The sequence below is a fragment of the Homo sapiens genome, chromosome 3 (genome assembly GCF_000001405.40).
Source record: "Homo sapiens chromosome 3, GRCh38.p14 Primary Assembly".
NCBI lineage: Eukaryota > Metazoa > Chordata > Mammalia > Primates > Hominidae > Homo > Homo sapiens.
The window spans coordinates 132,863,794-132,882,752 of record NC_000003.12 but is presented as its reverse complement, the minus strand read 5'-3'; the positions used below and the strand labels follow the sequence as shown (position 1 = coordinate 132,882,752).

The 18,959-nt window shown below is 40.3% G+C and overlaps 1 long non-coding RNA gene across 1 annotated transcript in view, besides 2 other annotated features; it reads right to left on the bottom strand.

Annotated features, from left to right (window-relative positions):
• Positions 2,528–3,064: an enhancer, noted in NCBI's record as "NANOG hESC enhancer chr3:132598533-132599069 (GRCh37/hg19 assembly coordinates)". NCBI's record gives its function as "activates a minimal SCP1, AML or CMV promoter by ChIP-STARR-seq in naive H9 embryonic stem cells {active_cell/tissue: H9 hESC(naive)}" and the evidence as "EXISTENCE:reporter gene assay evidence [ECO:0000049][PMID:30033119]".
• The window catches only part of NPHP3-AS1 (NPHP3 antisense RNA 1), a 152,462-nt gene continuing 142,044 nt past the window's right edge, over positions 8,542–18,959 (bottom strand). The window contains exon 11 of the long non-coding RNA NR_002811.2: positions 8,542–9,212. This is a non-coding gene — a long non-coding RNA (NPHP3 antisense RNA 1). The remainder of the gene's footprint in view (positions 9,213–18,959) is intronic.
• Positions 17,059–17,228: an enhancer, noted in NCBI's record as "experimental_64751 CRE fragment used in MPRA reporter constructs". NCBI's record gives its function as "activates a minimal promoter by MPRAs in K562 erythroleukemia cells, with activity observed for both the introgressed and non-introgressed 3:132584454 variant alleles {active_cell/tissue: K562}" and the evidence as "EXISTENCE:reporter gene assay evidence [ECO:0000049][PMID:34662402]".

Sequence of the window (18,959 nt, the reverse complement as noted above, 5' to 3'; positions counted from 1 at the left end):
TATCTCAGGCTCTGCTGCTAGAACTGACTTAAGACCATTGAACTTGATAAAGTGCAATAACTATAAACTAATTTCTTTCATAACTGCCCCTGGAATCCCATTTTGTGGACTTTAAACTCTCATCTAATTTAAAACTTCTCCTCCATTAGGTCTAAAGCAGGCTTGAAATCCTGCCGTGTGGAACAGAGTGGGGATAGCATTGGCTTCACCATTATTTCTCTATATCTTATAGTCTTCCTACCTCCACCCACAGTGCTGCTCCAGGGGTCCCCAGGGAGTAAGATGAAGCTAGAAAAGGAGCAGAAAAGACGTTTCCTGATGGGTACAATTGGAGTCTGGTACTGATGCCCCCTGGTAGGAGGGATAGCCAAATGATAAATGCTAAATCTTTTGCCTCTGAGTTGTAAATTCCTTAGAGACACTGCCAACACACACACACACACACACACACGCACACACATGCACACACACACACTACACACACCACACACACACACCACACACATAGCACACACACACAGCACACAAACACACACCACACACTACACACATGCCACACACTACACACACATCACACACACACCACACACTACACACACACCACACACACACATCACACACCACACACACACTACACACCACACATCACACACACCACACACACACACCATACACACACCACACACACACCACACACACACACCACACACACACCACACACTACACACACACCACACCACACCACACACACCACACACCACACACACACACCCCCACACCATACACACACCACACATGCACACACCACACACACCACACTACACACCACACGCACACACCACACCACACACATACCACACACACACACCACGCACCCACTACTACCACACACCACACCCCACACACACCACACAAACACACCACACATGCACATACGACACACACCACACACATACAACACACAACACACACACGGGGGTAGATGGGAGATGGCTTCAACTGTAATTCCCTGGTGTGATATTGTCCCTCCCTGACAGCCATTTCTGGTTCCCGTTCCACCCTCAGTTTCTGCATGTAGCAGTACTCCAGCTTTCTCTCTGCCCAGGTCACCTCACCCCAGAAAGGATGATCTCTTGGGAAGTGTCCTTTTCAAGACAACTGACAGCAAGATCCCTTCCATGGGTTCCATATCTTTGCCTCCCACCTTCCCCCCAAAAAGTGACCTCCCTCCCTATGCCTCTATTTTTCAGCTCTGGTCTCTTTAGCTACAGCCTCCCACCTATAGATTTTTCCAGATGTGTATCAGGCACCTGTCCTCATATCCCTAAATTCGAGAAGATGCAGGGTAAGCTCTCTGGGTAGCTTGCTTGACATATCCTTCTCATTTGGTTCACAGTGATGGAGAAATACTTCTATTCCCTGGAAAGTGGAAACTCCATGGACCTCTGACAACTCTCTCTAAAGAAATACTTGTTCTCCCTCACTTAATCTTCAACCTCCCTGACTCTGGCAGAACCAGGCTCCAGCCACTCCCTTTGCAACATGGATGGTCTACATGGATGTTCTAGCTGGTTTAGTGACTCACGTTGGAATGTGAGAGTACTTGACACCTACTGCTATCAGTGCCTCAGCTAAACCAACCTGTGGGATTTTATCATTCTACTGTACATGATAATGATAGCTAAGTTTATGTCATGCCTACTGTGTGTCAGTACTGTTCCAAATCTTTTCTTCTACATCAAAAATTATACCTCAATCCCTACACTGCTCTCTGTGAGCCCCCAGAACAGCCAACACTCATCAGCTGAGGTATTCCTTGAAACATTTCACTATTTTTCTACCTGGTATATCTTTAAACAAAAATGCATGTCAGCAGTTGGCACATGGAGAAAGTCACTACCAGTTTTCCATAAGTTCAAGAAATATTTTGGGCTGTCCTGTGAAAAGTTTCTTTTTCCATCTCAGTGAGTTCTCTAGCTGACGAATGTTCCCAAACCCATATGGCTGCTGATGGTAGGAACCCAGATTCCTGACTACACAGAAAGTGGCCCTTCTGCCTCTGCAACTTTGGGTTGAAGAGCAAAGCTGTGCCCTTGGCCTGGGCACTGAGAGCCTTTCTACATCAAGGAAAAACACTTTTAGTGTTCCCTCCTTATTCATTTGTGTTTGTCCACACTCTCCTGACCTTGAGGACCTTTGTGGAGTTATTACAATGTGAGCCACATTGCAAATGCTGAAGTTATTCAGACCTCTAGACAAGGTGACAGACTTAAAGACGTATAAGCCACCCCCATCCCCAAATAAACAAATAGACTGCTCCAAAAAAACAAAAAGGCTGGTGTGTGTGTATAGATAGATAGATATAGTTATAGCTTTTTATATAGTTATATATATAACTATATTTGTTCATATTTTTTTAAAATTAAAAATAGATTTGTGTTGGACAGTAACAACAGACCACCAAACATGGTCTGAGACAAAGCTGGATTTATTCTGTACCTGGTCAGGGAGAGCCACATTGCCTCCCTCAAGTGTGGTTTCAGCAGGTCTCTCCAAGCAGAAATGGAAAGAACCTGGATATGGCAAAAAGAAGGACATACACCCAGAAGGCAAGATTCTGAGTTCAGGTCTCCGGTTGGCCCATGAGGCAGAATGTAAATTCTTCCTTTCCTTTTCTGTAATAAAAGGAAATCTGGTTTCAAAGAAGTCCACAACTGGTTGAGTGAATTTCCAGTGGGCCTGGGGTCATTCAATAAATGGGCTGAATGCTCAGAGCTTAGCAGTTTTTCTTTAATACACATGCAAACAAGAAAGGGAAATTCCCAGGAATCAGAAACAAAGGAGTCTTTAGATAGTATAGCAGGTGGGAGTTAGAGCTGTGAAGCCCTCCAGGCATAAGTCTTAGTTGCCTGTTAAGGTCTGAGGTTTTGATGCCTAAGCAGGAAGCAGAGTGACATAGGCAGGCAAGCAGCCAGAACAGATCTCTGCACAATGTCAGGGTCAGAAAAACTCTGCTCCATCTGTAATCTGGATCTAAAAAGTAGCATTTGGAAGTAAGCTTTCTGTTCCAGGTCTTGGGTGGAAGTATCATTAGTGAAAAACAGAACCTATGACTGAGAAACATTGGACAGGACCTACAAGATGAACTCTTTGGGCCTGGCAGAACCAGCCAAAAATCCCTTCATGGAGAGGCCTCCAAACCCAGGGCATCCCCAGGCTACCCAAGGAAGATGAGCTATAAGTTCTATGTACTATGCTATAAGTATAAGCTATAATTACTATGTTTTATGGCTTTCCAGAGGCACCACAATAGGAAGGAGTACTTCAAATACGCAGCGTGAGGCCCTCTAGAAATCATACTTTCATTTATTAATTAATTACCTCTGTGTGCCAGGCACTGTGCCAGATTCTTTACCATTTATTGTCTTAAGCCTTCCTAACAACCACATTCTATAACACATCCTTAACCTAGGCAGGGTAGCATTTCTATTGGCACTATTTGCAGAGAAACAGACGAAATCCCACTCTTATCATATGGCTGGAACTTCACCATCTAAGATTCATTCTTTGGGATCTCAACAGTTTTCCATCCCTATGTGCACACACAGCCCCATACTTGACCACAAACACTAGGCAATATAGTACAGTGGAAAGAGCTCTGAAATAGTACCCTATGTCCTGGGTTCTTGTCTAGGTACCACTGTCCTGGCTTTGAGATGTTGGTCAAGCTACATACCTAGGATGGTGTTCAGCACAGAGTAGATGGTCAAAAAAGAATAGTGTGTGTATGTTTATTGCAGCACTATTCACAATAGCAAAGACTTGGAACCAACCCAAATGTCCAACAATGATAGACTGGATTAAGAAAATGTGGCACATATACATATGGAATACTATGCAGCCATAAAAAGTGATGAGTTCATGTCCTTTGTAGGGACAAGGATGAAATTGGAAATCATCATTCTTAATAAACTATCGCAAGGACAAAAAACCAAACACTGCATGTTCTCACTCATAGGTGGGAATTGAACAATGAGAACACATGGACACAGGAAGGGGAACATCACATTCTGGGGACTGTTGTGGGGTGGGGGAAGCGGGGAGGGATAGCATTAGGAGATATACCTAATGCTAAATGATGAGTTAATGGGTGCAGCACACCAGCATGGCACATGTATACATATGTAACTAACCTGCACATTGTGCACATGTACCCTAAAACTTAAAAGTATAATAATAATAAAAAAAAGACATGAATTAAAAAAGAAGAATAGTGTGTAATTCTTATTATTTATTTTGCATTCCTGACCAAAGACTCAACATCCATGGGCCTTACCGACATGTCACAAGAGCAAATGGAACCCTGCTGCATGGCATGGGAGGGTGCGAAAGCACAGCTCTTCACCAGAGAATACCCAGTCTTGCTTAAGACAAATCTGGGACACACTCAGAATGCAGAGGGTGGCAAAATATTTTAACAGTTCACCTTTGGTACCAAAGTCTGTGCTCATGGGTCTGGAAGCTACCTACCTTCCATGAATTTCCCCGCTTCTTCCTATTCCCCTGCTCCCAGCCCAGGGCACCTACTTCAATCTCCGTAGTCGCCATGATGCCAAATACTATTGCCCATGGTTTTACATTCTTCAAAGTGGAGCAATAAGACAGACTAATTCCCTCTTGCCAATATTGACTTCTCAAAGTATAACTTAGATTCGACATGCTTAAAATTCCCTCCCCCATCAGGAGAAAGTATAGAGCAAGGCAATGATGGTCCAGGGACAGAGAAACTTGCCCCATCATGCAATAATTCTACTATAAATCTATAATAATTTTAGAAAGAAATTTTCTGTGCTGATTTCTATAATTTGGGTACAACTCTGCTGTACACATGGGTGGTATAAGGCACCCTCGAAATACATACATTTGATGTAAATTGAAGCCTTGTCTCTAATAATCGTCACATTTGCAGTGACATAATAATTTTGCTTCTTAAAATTTAGGATGGGAGGTGATTTGAAGGCCCAGGCAGAACTATTTAAAAACTATTCCTTAAAGTTGCTTCAAAAGCCCTCTTAGTAGATGCTGAACACCTGCTTGTCTTGGATTCTGATCATGTTTCTCTCTCTCTGAAAAGTATGATTGGGAGGAAAACCTGACCCAGTGTTTTGCTGCTTTGCCTTTCCCTGTGCTTCTAGCTATTCAAGACTCTGCCCACTCTGAGAGTAAATGAAGGCAAACAGACCACAATGAGTGATGGTGCTCAGTGAGCTTCCCACTTCACTGGAAACCATGGAATCAACGCCAGCTCATGAGGACTTTCTCAAAGGCACTTCTCAAAGAAACTTTAAAACAAGCAGGGGATAAAGTTGAGACCTGAAGTTGAGGGAATAAATAAATCTGTGATTAGGTGAGAAGCAAAAATGGAGACAGGAAGTTTTTCAAAGCTCTCTTTTCAAATGGGAGGTTAGCATGGTAAACACACTATAGCACACTTTAGACTGTAAATTGCAGCCATCTTCAATACCTTGATGAAGCAGAAAGTGGGAGGGGATAGCGAACTGGGTTGGAGTCTCAACTCTTCCATTTAATAGCTGGAAACCTTGGGAGAGTCACTTAGCCTCAGGGAGCTCAAATTGCTTTATGTAGAATATGATTATTACGGCTCCTTCTAGCAATATAATTGTGTTCTAACTTCCCTACTCTCTTATATCTAGACATGGTTTAAAAATGAATACCTAATGATATGCATGCTCACTTGAAATGAAGATGTGTAATATTGCATATTATATTCACATGTGAGCTTTGAACTCATTTGACTATCACAAACATATATTCAGGCAAATAAGAAAAATTTCAATGCTTCTGCTTGAAATGGTGAAAATTATCCACCTAAATGGTTGATAGGCACTTGAAACTCAGCATCTCCAAGAATTCCTCAATCTTCTCTTTAAATCTTATCCTCCTTCAACGCTTGTGTCAGCCAAACTACTATATCGACATCACCCAGGCAACAAAATAGAGCCTCTTGGTCTTTTCTCTTAGCCTCCACACCTAGAGATGACTAAGCCCTCATAATTTTACCTCCTCACTGTTTCCAGACTATTTCTCTGAGAAGGGGTGACAGGCATCGTAGCTCAGACTCCCACCTTTGTTTACCTGGACCACTGCCTGTCATCCTTCCCTCCACCTTCCTGTAGCCATTGTCCACAGTAATCATCCTGAAGCACCAATAACTTCTTGTTGAAAACCCTTTGCTGGCTTTATTCATACTCTCCCCTGGAGTTCTTTGCCCCACTTGCCATGTCATCTCCTTTCTGGGCCCTTCATCAGGTTAACTTCTACATATCCTTTAAGACTCATTTCTTGCATGAAGCCCTTCTTTGCTCTCCATTTTCCTGCCATGCTCCACGAGGTAGCCCCACTAGCCCACTACCCTTTGCATATCTATGCTGTATACTCATCGTCTTGAATTGCAACTGTGTCTGCCTCCCCAGCCATGCTGTGGACTCCTTGGAAACAGAGGTATGTCCTTGCATCTGTGTCACCCAGCAGAACTTCTGACCCATATTAGCTACTTAAACACTTTAATTCATTCTTTTGTTTTTCTGGCTGCAGAAATGCCGTTGCTCTAAAGCAGAACATAGCCATGACCCAGTCGCCTAAATCTATTCAGTGAAGACAAACAGAGGTGAATTGAGATGGACGCTCAGGGCCTCAGATACATGCCAGAGTCTTTGTCTGATGCCAGTATCTGCATCTGGAAGATACCGAGTTGGATCAAGTTGATGCTAACAAACTGTGTTTGAGGCAGAGCCATTCTGACAGCCATTTCTGCTTACAAGTGAACATTGTATATGGCAGAGGCTACATTAAGGTAATTATTTTACACAAAATATAATCAATTTCCCTGTATGCTTTCTTTCCAGCAAATGATTCTGCATTAAGCAAAGTTTAATGTTTTGTCCTGCCTAGGTGGCTTTTTCTGGGATGGCAAAAAAAGTGCTCCAGAAACTTGGCCAGAAATTTTCAAGTATCACTGTGTCTTCAGATATTGGACTATATAGATCAAGGTTCACTAGTTTCTATCTACATGGTCAATTTCTTTGCAAATCACCCCCTTGCTTTAGACTTCATTTTCTCCATCTGCAAAATAGAGGATGGATGAGATTATCCCTAGGATCCTTTTTTAGTTCTTAAATTCTACTATTCCAGGATTCTTATTTATTATTTCACTTTTCATGTGATCTCTTGTCTTGAGTCAACTGGTGGTACTGAAATTTAGTGGCAAAATAAATAAATTGGGGGATTATTCCTTGTATAAAACTGATTTATTGTTGTATAGAATTTACCTTTAAATAACAAATTCTCCTTGCTCATTTAAAATAGATTTGAGTACAAGTATTTGACTTGCATACCTTCTTCATTAAACAATGCAGCATTTATTTGTAGGACTGGCCACATAATCTATAGAATTCAGTGCAAAATGAAAAGTTCCAGGCCCATTGCTTAAAAATTAGTAAGACTTTCAAGATGGTGATGGCAGAGCATTAAAGCAAGGTTAGGGCTCTTCTGAGAGTAGGACACTATGCAACCTCTGACCCTGTCTATCTGTGTTGTTTTCCATATACCCATTAAGCAACAAAAGTGTTTGTTAGAAGTAACTATGCCTAAACATTTCCCCAAAACTCTGTATCTCAAGTAAATCCAACAAAAAGGAAAAAAGATGCACAGAAGGAAACATCACTAAATTTTTTGCCACAATCCAACTTCCTTTATGCCCAATCAATGAAAGAGCCCTGGGCTAGAATCAGACACGGGCTCCATGTCTGGCTTGACCACTGGCTCATTAGTGTGACTTTGGGTGACTCACTGGACTTCCTGACCACTTAGTATTCCCCTCTGTAAAATGAGGGAGCTCATTTTTGGCACTAGGATTCTGTGAATCTTTGCTTGTTTCTGATCCAAGGCTTGTTTCCATGGCCATGTAATTATTTTTAACTTTTAATTGAAGTATAACATATACACACACACACACACACACACACATATATATATATATATATATATATATAGAGAGAGAGAGAGAGAGAGAGAGAGAGAGAGAGAGAGAGAAGTGCTCATATTATACGTGGACAGCTTATTGAATTTTTGCAAACTAACCATGTGTAACCAGCTCCCAGATCAAAAAGTAGAACATGACCAGAATCTCAAAAGCCCATCTTCTGTTCCCTTCTGGCAGCCCCCATTGCCACAAGGGTAGCCACCATCCTGATTTTTAATACCACGCATTAAATTTACCTGTTTTGAACTTTAAATAAATTGAATCATACACTGTGTATGCATCTGATTTCTTTAACTCCGTATTATATTTTGAAACTTATCCATGTGTTTGGAGACTATTCACTCTCACTGAGGCAGTGTTCTATTGGACAAATACACCACAGCTGAATTACCATTCTACTCGTAGTGGGCATTTGAGTAGACTTCCTTTTTGGCTGGCCATATTTACCAAAAAACTTCACCATTTCTAATTCTCAAGAATCTGAGGAATGAAAATTAGTTTACTTTCTTTGATTTTGTAAACAATGAGGTTGAAATGTCCTTGTACAGAGGTTTCAAAAAGCTTTAGACTCTTTCTTTAATCTTAGAAGTGTACAATGGGCAGAAGAAAATTTTCTTGTTCCTCTTTTACCTCAACTTCTGCTTGACATTTCACAATTGCAGGTGAGGCTTCCTAGCCTGCAGAAGAAGCAATTGTTGTCATTGTTCATTAGCTTCAGACCAAACTCTGTCAGATGATGATAATAAGACAGAAATGGCTTCTGAGTATATCAGGAGGAAAGCCTTCCTTCCAGAGCTCAGGAAGTCTGTGATAGACCAAACCAGACCAGGGTTTGGGTGCTGGGAACAAATCACACCTTCCAGGAGCAGTGAGCACTTACAGTCCTGGACAAGATACAGATCGGGGGCCGGGCTCTTCAGGCAAACAGGAGAAATACAGTTTCCAGAGGTATGCGAACAGACAAACCTGGCAATCGAGGCAGGAGATCTATGGCGAGGCAGCTCAACAGAAGGTAACCGTAGTTTCTCTCCAGAAGGAACTCAGCAACAGAAGATATGCAAGTTGTCCTTTCACAGTCTGGGCAGAGGTTGGTCTCAGGGAGAACTATCAGTCACCACTGGCCAGGGGCATAATTCCAACCCTGGAAAACCTGTCAAGAACAAAAAAAGACCCAGCAGCCAAGTGCTGAGACTCCAGGCAGGTTACTCAGGCTCAGATAGCCTCCTGGGACCTATCTGGAATTGCTCTACCAGAGCCAGAACATAGCCAGAGTAGACCCAGCAGTAAGATTGAACAGTGCTATCATTCACTAATTCAAAAAACAATTATTGAGCTTCTAGCCATATGTCAGGCCCTGTGCTAGGCATTGGTGGTGAACAAAACACACATACTAATCACATCAGTTAGGATGCTTTTGACTGCAAGTAGCAGAATACCTAATTAAAGTTGCCTTAAACAATAGGGCTAATTAGCAATCTCACATACAAAGCCCGGAAGAATACTGACCTAAAGCTGTCTCCGTAGCTCACCAATGTCAGGACTCTGGCTGAACTTCTTAGTTTCCCTCATGTTCACAAGAAAGCTGTAGTAGTTCTGTGAATCACATCCTCACATGATAGTATTGAAAGTAGGAAGGACTAAAACAACTTCTTACATGTATTTTTTTATTTTTAAACCTGAGAGAAAAAAATCTTTTCTAAAAGCTTCCCTGTTGAATTCCTCATGTCCCCATGGCCAGAATTGGGTCATGTAACTATGACTAAACCAATTACTGGAAAGGGGAATGAGATGAACACAGTTGCTTAGACCAATCATGAAGCAAGCCCTGGGAATACTTGCCCTGATACCCAAACGAACTCACAACTCAGGGCCATGTCAGCAGAAGAATTAGTATGGCTGTGGGCCAGACCATCAAAAACATTGCTGCCACCATCCAAACTCCTGAAAAATGGCTCCTTTCACTACCTTGGGGTCAAGATGGGTCCAAGAGTTTGGAAATCTCTTTTACTCAGCAAAACCTTAGATTCTGTTAAAAGATACAAAACTACAGCTAGATAAAAGGATTAAGTTCTAGTGTTTTGTAGCACTGTAGGATAGCTACAGTTAACAATACTATATAGTTTCAAACAGCTAGAAGGAGGATATTGAATGTTCCCAACACAGAGAAATGAGAAATGTTTGAGATGATACGTAGGCTAATTATCCTAATCTGATCACTCCACAATATATGTATGAAAATGTCACTGTATATTCCATGAATCTGCACAATTATGATTTTTGAATTTAAAAAATGAAATTAAAAAAAAAATTACTGAACACTGTCCCTGGGCAGGTATGTGTCGGATTTAACCCACAATGAAGAGGTCAAAGACCTCCAGCTATGAGTTCTAGAAAGCGTCAGCCATCAAAGCACCCACTTCTTTAAGCTCTACCCAAACAGATTTCTGCTAAAGACCAGCTCATGTTTAATTCAGCCTGCTCTCTCTAACACTGGCACCAGGGGGGTAAAACAGAAACAGCAGCTGCTTTCTGTGCCCTCAGAAGTTTGGCATGTCCTCACTTTAAGTCCTACCACTCAGAATATTACTTCACCTCTCCTTGAGCCTATTTACATTTTTGGCTTAGACAGGTCCTGGGATAGTAAGTTCCATATGCTTCGTACTTGCTGTGTAAGACAACACTATTTTCAACACGTCTTAGAATTACCTCCTTTAAGTTTTTAAGGGTTGCCTCATCTATTCATTAGTGTTTCATTTATTAGAGGCTGGCCTGCAATCCTATTACAGGTTGTTTATTCTTTAGAAATACATTTGAGAAGGAAAAGGCCAGAATAATAATAGTTGGTATTTATCAAACAATTATTATGTACTAGGAAATACTCTTAAGTGCATTTATATGTATTAACTAATTTAATAATTGAGCAACTCTGTGAAGGAGGAATCTTTTTATACTTTTTTTTTTCAGCAGAGGTACAGTGATATTAATTAACTTGCCCAAAATCACATAGCTAATAAGTTGGGGAGTATTATACCACGTATCAAAAGGAACAAGATGTTTGCCTCCCTGCAGGGCTCTTGGGTTTTTTGGTTTTTTGTTTTTTGTTTTTTTGAGATGGAGTCTTGCTCTGTTGCCCAGGCTGGAGTGCAGGGGCGCTATCTCGGCTCACTGCAACCTCTGCCTCCTGGGTTCAAGTGATTCTCCTGCCTCAGCCTCCCAAGTAGCTGGGATTACAGACGCATGCCACCCTGCCCAGCTAGCTTTTGTACTTTTAACAGAGACAGTGTTTCGCCATGTTGGCCAGGCTGGTCTTGAAATCCTGACCTCAGCTGATCCACCCGCCTCAGCCTCCCAAAGTGCTGGGGTTACAGGTGTGAGCCACCGTGCCCAGACAGGGTCTTTTTCATCTTATGGCTTGCAGGCATCTCAGAGGACTTGCTGAGATGAAACAAAATCATATATATTTTCTCTTTTTAAAACTTAATTAATTTTTAAATTGGCAAATAAAAATTGTATATATTTATGTACAACATGTTGCTTTGAAATATGTAAATACTGTGGAATGGCTACATTGAGCTAATTAACATATGTATTAAGTAATACATATGTGAATTACTTATGTGAAGTCACATAACTTTTTTTTTGTTGGTGAGGACACTTAAAATCTACTCTCTTCACAATTTTCAAGAATACAATACATTGTTACTAACTGTAGTCACCATGTTGTACAATAGATCTCTCAATTCTTTCTATCTAATGGAAATGTATCCCTTGACCAACCTCACCCCCTCCCTCAGCCCCCACCACAAATAAAACACGTATCAAATAGACAAAGCCAAGCCTAGCCACGGATTCTTTGCCCCTTTGTCAGCTGCTGTTCTGTCCTTTCAGACTGTGGTAGCACCTGTCACATTACTCAGTGAAAAACATGCAAAGTCTCTCAGGCAGATTGTCTCTAGATCATAAAGAGGTCATCAGAGCAAAGTGGCAATTTGAGAACAGCTGTAGGAACCACATTTCCCTTCCGGGGTGGTTTTTAGAATAGCTTTCCAAGTTCAGGGCAGACATAGCTGTCTCTCCCCATTCAATCACATACCCACTGAACTGTACGGCCTTTTGACTGTCTTGGGTGCATGTCTTGTTATAAGTTCTTTGAGAATTGGGACTATGCCTTAATCACAGGTCTAACAACTCCTTCCCCTGAAACACTTGGTGAAAGAGTCTGCCTTGTGTGTGAGCTCCCTTTCTCCAACAAAACTGACAGTTTTCTGAAAGCCTCTGTGGCATTTCCTTGGCATATAGTCCAATTCTGGACATTGCCAGGACTTGGAAACCACAATGAGATACCCCTCCCAAGACCTGGGAGTTCAGAGAAAAACCTAACTGGTGGCTTGTGTTTGTTTTGTTTTGCTTTACATTGTTCTTGTTAATTCATTAGGGCAGAAGGAAGCAACCCTCTCTCCAATTCCCACTTCACCAAACTATTGTGTTTCTAAGAAGTTTGAGCCTTTCTTACCATCACCTTTACCACCTCCAACCCCACCTGATGGAAATCAGATGCTTCTTATGAGGAAAATGGAAGTGCATTGTCCCAGAAGGGAATGGTTGAAGCCTGGTGCTTTGAGTTAGGTGAAACAGAAGAAAGGATGGCACAACCACCAGAGGGAGGTTCTCTGATAACAGAAAGGGTAGCTTAGGGGATTCCTACAAATGGCAGATAAACCCATACCTCAGAGGGAGGATGGTTGAGGGATGTCCTTGGGTCCGGGGCACTAAGTGCCTAACACGAAAAGAGACATGACAGAGCTTCAGTCTGCAAGAAGAGTCCTATGTTAGAGCATCGTGGAAGAAGCAGTCATGGATTTCAGGTAACAGTAACAAAGGTGACCACCAAGAAGAGAGTCAAGTCCTCATTCCTCCCCTACAGTCATGTAAATGCTATAGGTTATCAATATGACCCCAGGGAGAGTAGGGGTTTGTCCTGAAAACGTTACTAAGTTGAATTTGTAACCATCCATGGGGAGTATGGCCCAAGCAAGAATAATTTTTATTTAGAAAAATGTAAAGATGTTTGAATTGTTTTATAATTTAAATTTTTAAATTTGAAATTTTAATTTTAAAAAATAAAAAGAAAATATTATGATGTATTTTGAATCTAGGTGTTGCGGAACAAATTCATACCTACTAAAAATTCAGATTGTCTTCTGAGAGTTAAACTCTAGACCAGGAGTGGGCAAAGTATAGCCCATAAGGGCAAATCTGCCACCTGGTTTTATAAATAAAGTTTTACTGGAACATAACCACACCCAGGCACTTATATATTGTCTATTGCTTTCACACTACAATGTCAGGATTGAGGAGCTGTAACACAGACTGTATGGCCCACAAAACCTAAAATATTTACTGTCTGGTCCTTCACAGAAAAAAAGAACAAAATCTGTCAATCCTTGCACTAGACCAACAGAAAATGGGTGCGGGCAGCCTTCCCCTGAAAGACTCCAGATGGTTTCCCATCAGCAGAACACCTCAGAGCCTTCCTGAGCAGGTGAACAGATTTGAGACCTATGTGTAACATGATTGAAACACTGGATATATATGAGGCGTGGCCTTCTGTCTGAAATCTTTATTACTTCCTGTTTTTGAATTCTAGAAGCTTTTCCTGGAATACCAAGCTACTAGCGTCTCATAGATTGCCACATTTCTAGGTCACCTCATGAACCAGTTGCCATTTTTGATGATTATTTATCACCATTATTGGTCAGTAGTTTTTTAATGCTTCTTATACATTGTATTAGTTAGGGTTCTCTAGAGGGACAAAACTAATGGAATGTACATATATATAGAGAGAGTATTGTATTAGGGTTCTCTAGAGGGACAGAACTAATGGAATATATATATATATATATATATACACACGGGCCTTCCATTACTAGCCCATGTAGGCTGGGAGGCTAGGCCAGTCTCACTTTTCCCATTTTTCTGCTTGCTTATATTCTAGCCATGCTAGCAGCTGATTAGATTGTGCCCACCCAGAGTAAGAGTAGGCACCTTTTCCCAGCCCACTGACTCAAACAGTTAATCTCCTTTGGCAACACCCTCACAGACACACCTGGAATCAATACTTTGTATCCTTCAATCCAGTCAAGTTGACATTCAGTATTAACAATCACATGCATAAAGTACTGTGCTAAGCACTTTATACACATTTCCCACTCAATATTCAAAATAGTCCATTGAGGCAGATGCTACTTTCCCCTACTTTGAGATAAAGAATCGGAGGCCTAGGAAAGGATAGAGAGAAGTGCCAAGGCCATCAGTCTAACAAGTAGCAGAGACAGACTCAGACCTATGTCTGCCTGACTCTAGCTCATATGCTTAGAGCCACGCCTTTTCCAATGTCAAGCTTATTCCTGCTCCCAAGCATTTGTCCATGCTGCAGTTAAAGAAGTGGAAAAAGTCCCTCCCTTTTTCTTTTGTATCTATAACCCAAAGCTTATCTCAAACTCCACTTTCTCCAGGAACCCTTGAAATACTTGTGGTCATTGAACCTCACATCTCTTCACCACCTAAACATAAACCATCTTCTACTACTCTCAAATTGCTCAATATGTGTGAATCATTCTTCTCAACCAATTTTTAAATGTGTGAATCATTCTTCCCAACCAATTTTTAAATGCTCCCAGAGAAGAAATTGTTGCTTAAATTGTTGTTATTATTTTTTTAGAGATGGGGTCTTGCTCTGTCTCCAGGCACTCATGGGCTCAAGCAATCCTCCTGCCTCAGCCTCCCTAGTAGCTAGGACTACAGGCATGCACCACCATGCCTGGCTAATGTTTTAAAAAATTTTCTGTAGAGACAGAGTTTTACTATTTTGCCCAGGCTGGTCATAAACCTTAAATCGTTTTTTAAACATGACCACAGCCCTTGAGTAATTTGTATGCATCCAGAGATACGGTGGAGCTTATATGAAGGTCTGAAGATTGACCTTCTTGTTTGTTGTTGTTATCATTATTTAAGTATCCCAGTTGCTTTCTGGTTTAAAAATAACATTCTCCCACTGGAAGGCAAGACAAATCAGGAAGAGTTTAATCTCATTTGTTGACGTAATCTACTTTCAGACAGAAGAAGTAGGACAAAAGTTTAACTAGTCCTTTGAAAATTTCCTGCTTAGAAACAAAACTATACATATGTGCACACACACACGCATGCACGCACACACACACCCAATAATATGTATGTGTGTATGTATACATATATAAAAACATATACACATATGTATACACAATTATCTAAATGTTTTGTAAAATATTTTTATACTTTATTTAGCTGAAATGAAACAAAAGGTTAACAGTGATTATATCTGGGTAGTAGAAATATGGCTAGTTTTTATTTTCTTCTTTATTCCTTCTTGTATGTCCCAATTTTCTACAGTGAAAATGTGTTAGAGTCAGAAATTAACAATAGGTGATATATTTTTAAATATCCCTGCTTAGTTCCTAAGAGAAATGATAAGTCACAGACACTTGCCAAGATCAGAGTCATGACATTCCTCCAACTACACAATTTTACCAAATATCTTGTTTCTTGCTGGATGTCAAAAAAGTCTGAGAATTCAGTTGGTCTTTGCATGACACTACTGCTTATCATTAAGATTTATCAAACACTCAATCAAGGCTGATCATGAGACTCTGCAATAATTGAGCTAACTAGTTGCATTGTGTCTACTGGTATGGTCTAATCTCATACATTCAAAAGTCAACAGTTCATTCTTAGAAGAGGTTCACACATCGGAAAGTGTTCTAGTAGACCAGCTGAGAGCGAATGGAACACAAAGAAGATATACTTTAATAGGAGAAACATGGAGTAGAGATCTAGGGCCTCAGTGGTGAAGCATTGTCTAGGTAGACTGCATATTGTGAGGAGATCTTTGTGGACACTCCTGGGGACCAAAGCGGTCCCTAAACCCCTAAAGACTTATGGGTCAACTATTGCAATTTTAGGCGTTCTCAAAATATTATGTTAGTTTACTAGTTTCCAAGAGAGATTACTTGAGTTATATGGGCAGTTTTCTCTAGTTTAGGCTTATAAAAAAAAGTTCTTTCTGAGAGAATTAGTTCCCATTCTTCTTGTATATATGTATGTGCCATTTATCCCTGGTGGGGTATTCATGAGGCAGTTCATCAGGCCCATAGGTCAGGACTCTGTTATTATAGACTCCAGAACCAGGCAACCTTAAAATATAGTACATCAGGATTTCTTTCTAAGATTAGACATTTCCTGATCCAGTCAAATACTGACTGAGAAAATAATAAGCCACCTTTTCAAACTTTGCATAAGCAAACCCAAGAGCAGCCTTTCCTATCCCAACCACTGCTAAGCCTACAGTGGCCACTTTCCCAAGAGCTGAATTGTCTATTTTAAGTAGATTATAGTAACTATCATTTTTTTCAAGATATATGTGAATTGTACTTTTTAAAAAATAAAATATGTCAATTAACTGTGGAAAATAGGCTGAAGGAAGAAGTTAGAAGTCTAGAATCTGGAAAGATCCACAAAGTAAAGAGATTCTGGCAATGACATAGCATAGCAACTCTTGGAGACATAATAGAGTTTGTGTTTCAGTTACTTACTGCTGTGTAATAAACTACCCCCAAAACTTGTGGCTTCAAACAAGAGCCATTTTATTATATCACATGATATTGAGCACTTTGTTACCACATTCTTCCCAAGAGGGTTCAATGTCCTTTGGGCTCCAGGCTAACATATAGATAAGAGATATCAGTCAGATTTTGCAGAATCTTAGACTTTATGATGCCATGAGGCCTACCTCTTCATGAGAGAAAAGTTATAAATGTCTCTGGGCTACCTCAAATGGATATAGTTTAATCAAAATTTACAGGGTTTTATTGCAACTTTATATATTCATCTCTGTTTCAACATCTCCCCACCTTCCATTTCATAACAACTCTTCACATTTCATCAGGAACAGTGGAGAAGCCATCAGATAAAATGTCTTTTTGTTAGCTATTGGGATTTGGTAATACCTCACACCTATTTTCAATCATAGAGAGGTTTCTAGAAAAGTCTGGCTTTATCGATATCTCATCACATTAAATGGACAGATGAAAAACAAAATTGTCTAGATACGTAGGAAAAGGCAAAGGCAAAATATTTTAGAGAAGATACAGATTATAACTAATTATAATTTTTCAATATGTGAGGAAATACAGAATGACAGAACTGATAAAGGAGGAATGTTTCCATTGTAAGGGTCAGAAAACTCAACTCACAGTGCAGTAAGTTAAATGGAATATATTGGCACAAGTCACTGGATAGTTTGGGGAGAGACCTAACTGGCTTCAGATTGCATTTGATCCAAAGCCTAAATGATACCAGAATTTGGTTTCTCTCTCCTTCCTCTTCTCTGCTCTTCCTTTCCTGTGTTGTTGCCTTTCAGGGAATCCTCTTCTCCATAGTCCCAAGATAGCTACCAGTAACTTCTGGGACTAACGGTTTCTAGGTCTAAATCTAGATGTGAAGAACCAGTGATAGTGCTCTAAATTTTCAGCAGAATCTTGTTCTCTCTCATTGGCTCTAAGTGAGTCTTATGTTCACTATTAAATCAATTTGTTCAAGAAAATGCATTGAGTGGATTGTTTTCAGCCTGAAATACTTCCTCCATTCTGAGTCATAAGTGGGACCAACTCTTCTGGAAGTACCCTGGATGAAAGGTAAAAAGAGATTTTGTCGAGGGAAAGTTGAAGGGCCATTGCAAGGAGGAAGAAAATTCTGGGTGACAAAAACAGATGTCCAGAGTTCTGGTTCCAGGTAAGATGGTGTAAACACATGCCAACCCTTCTCTCCCACTAGATACAATAAAACCTAGATAAACTGCATGGCACAGGTATCCAAGGTCTCTGAAAAGTGAATATCTGTAGCTATATTAAGAAAGAATACCAGAATTCAAAATAATACCAAATTGGCTGGTGGTGAGTTTATCATTTTTCCCCTCTGGTATCATCTGGCCTGAACTCATTGAAGCCTGAAACACAAAAGTGAGCCCTGTGATGCAGACAGAGAGAGATCCATGAGAATCTCTCTAATTTAGGGACAAAGAGCAGAAAAGAGATATCCTAAAGCACAGAGAGAACAGGGTAAAGCCCCCAGTTATTTTCTTTCCTTCTATTCTCTCTCACCCTAGTCCCCAGGCAACCTAGTGACAAGTACATGGCAAAGAAGAACCAAATGGAAATCATATAACTAAAATAAGTAATAACCAATATAAAAACCCCATGGGATAGACTCAATAGCAGAATGGACTAATTCCTCAAAACCCACAAACTACCAAAACTCACCCAGAACACAACAGATAACCTGCAGAGCCCCATAACTATAATACTAAAGAAATTGAATTTATATTTTAAAACATTCCTAAAAAAGAACAAATTCATACATATTTTTAAAGTTCATAGAACTGTACTCCAAAAGAAAATAAGTCAGTTTTACTGTATGATAATTTAAAGATATTTTTGAACATTTGGAAAAATAAATCTCGGTGTCCAAATGGTTTTACTGGTAAATTCTAGCAAACATCTTACAAAAACATATCAGCAATTCAACATAATCTCATTCAGAAAATAGACAAGGAGGCAATCTTTTACAATTCACTTTACAAGGCCAGAATTACCTTGATACCAAAACCAAAGACACCAAGAGAGAGTGAACTGCAGACCAACATCCCCTGTGAATATAGACACAAAAATCCTCAACAAAATATTAGCAAATTGATCCAATAACATATAATAAGATTACTACACAAAGACCAAAAGGGATTTATCTCAAGAAGCCAGGGGTGGATTCAATATCTGAAAATCAATCAATCAATCAATGTAATCTACCA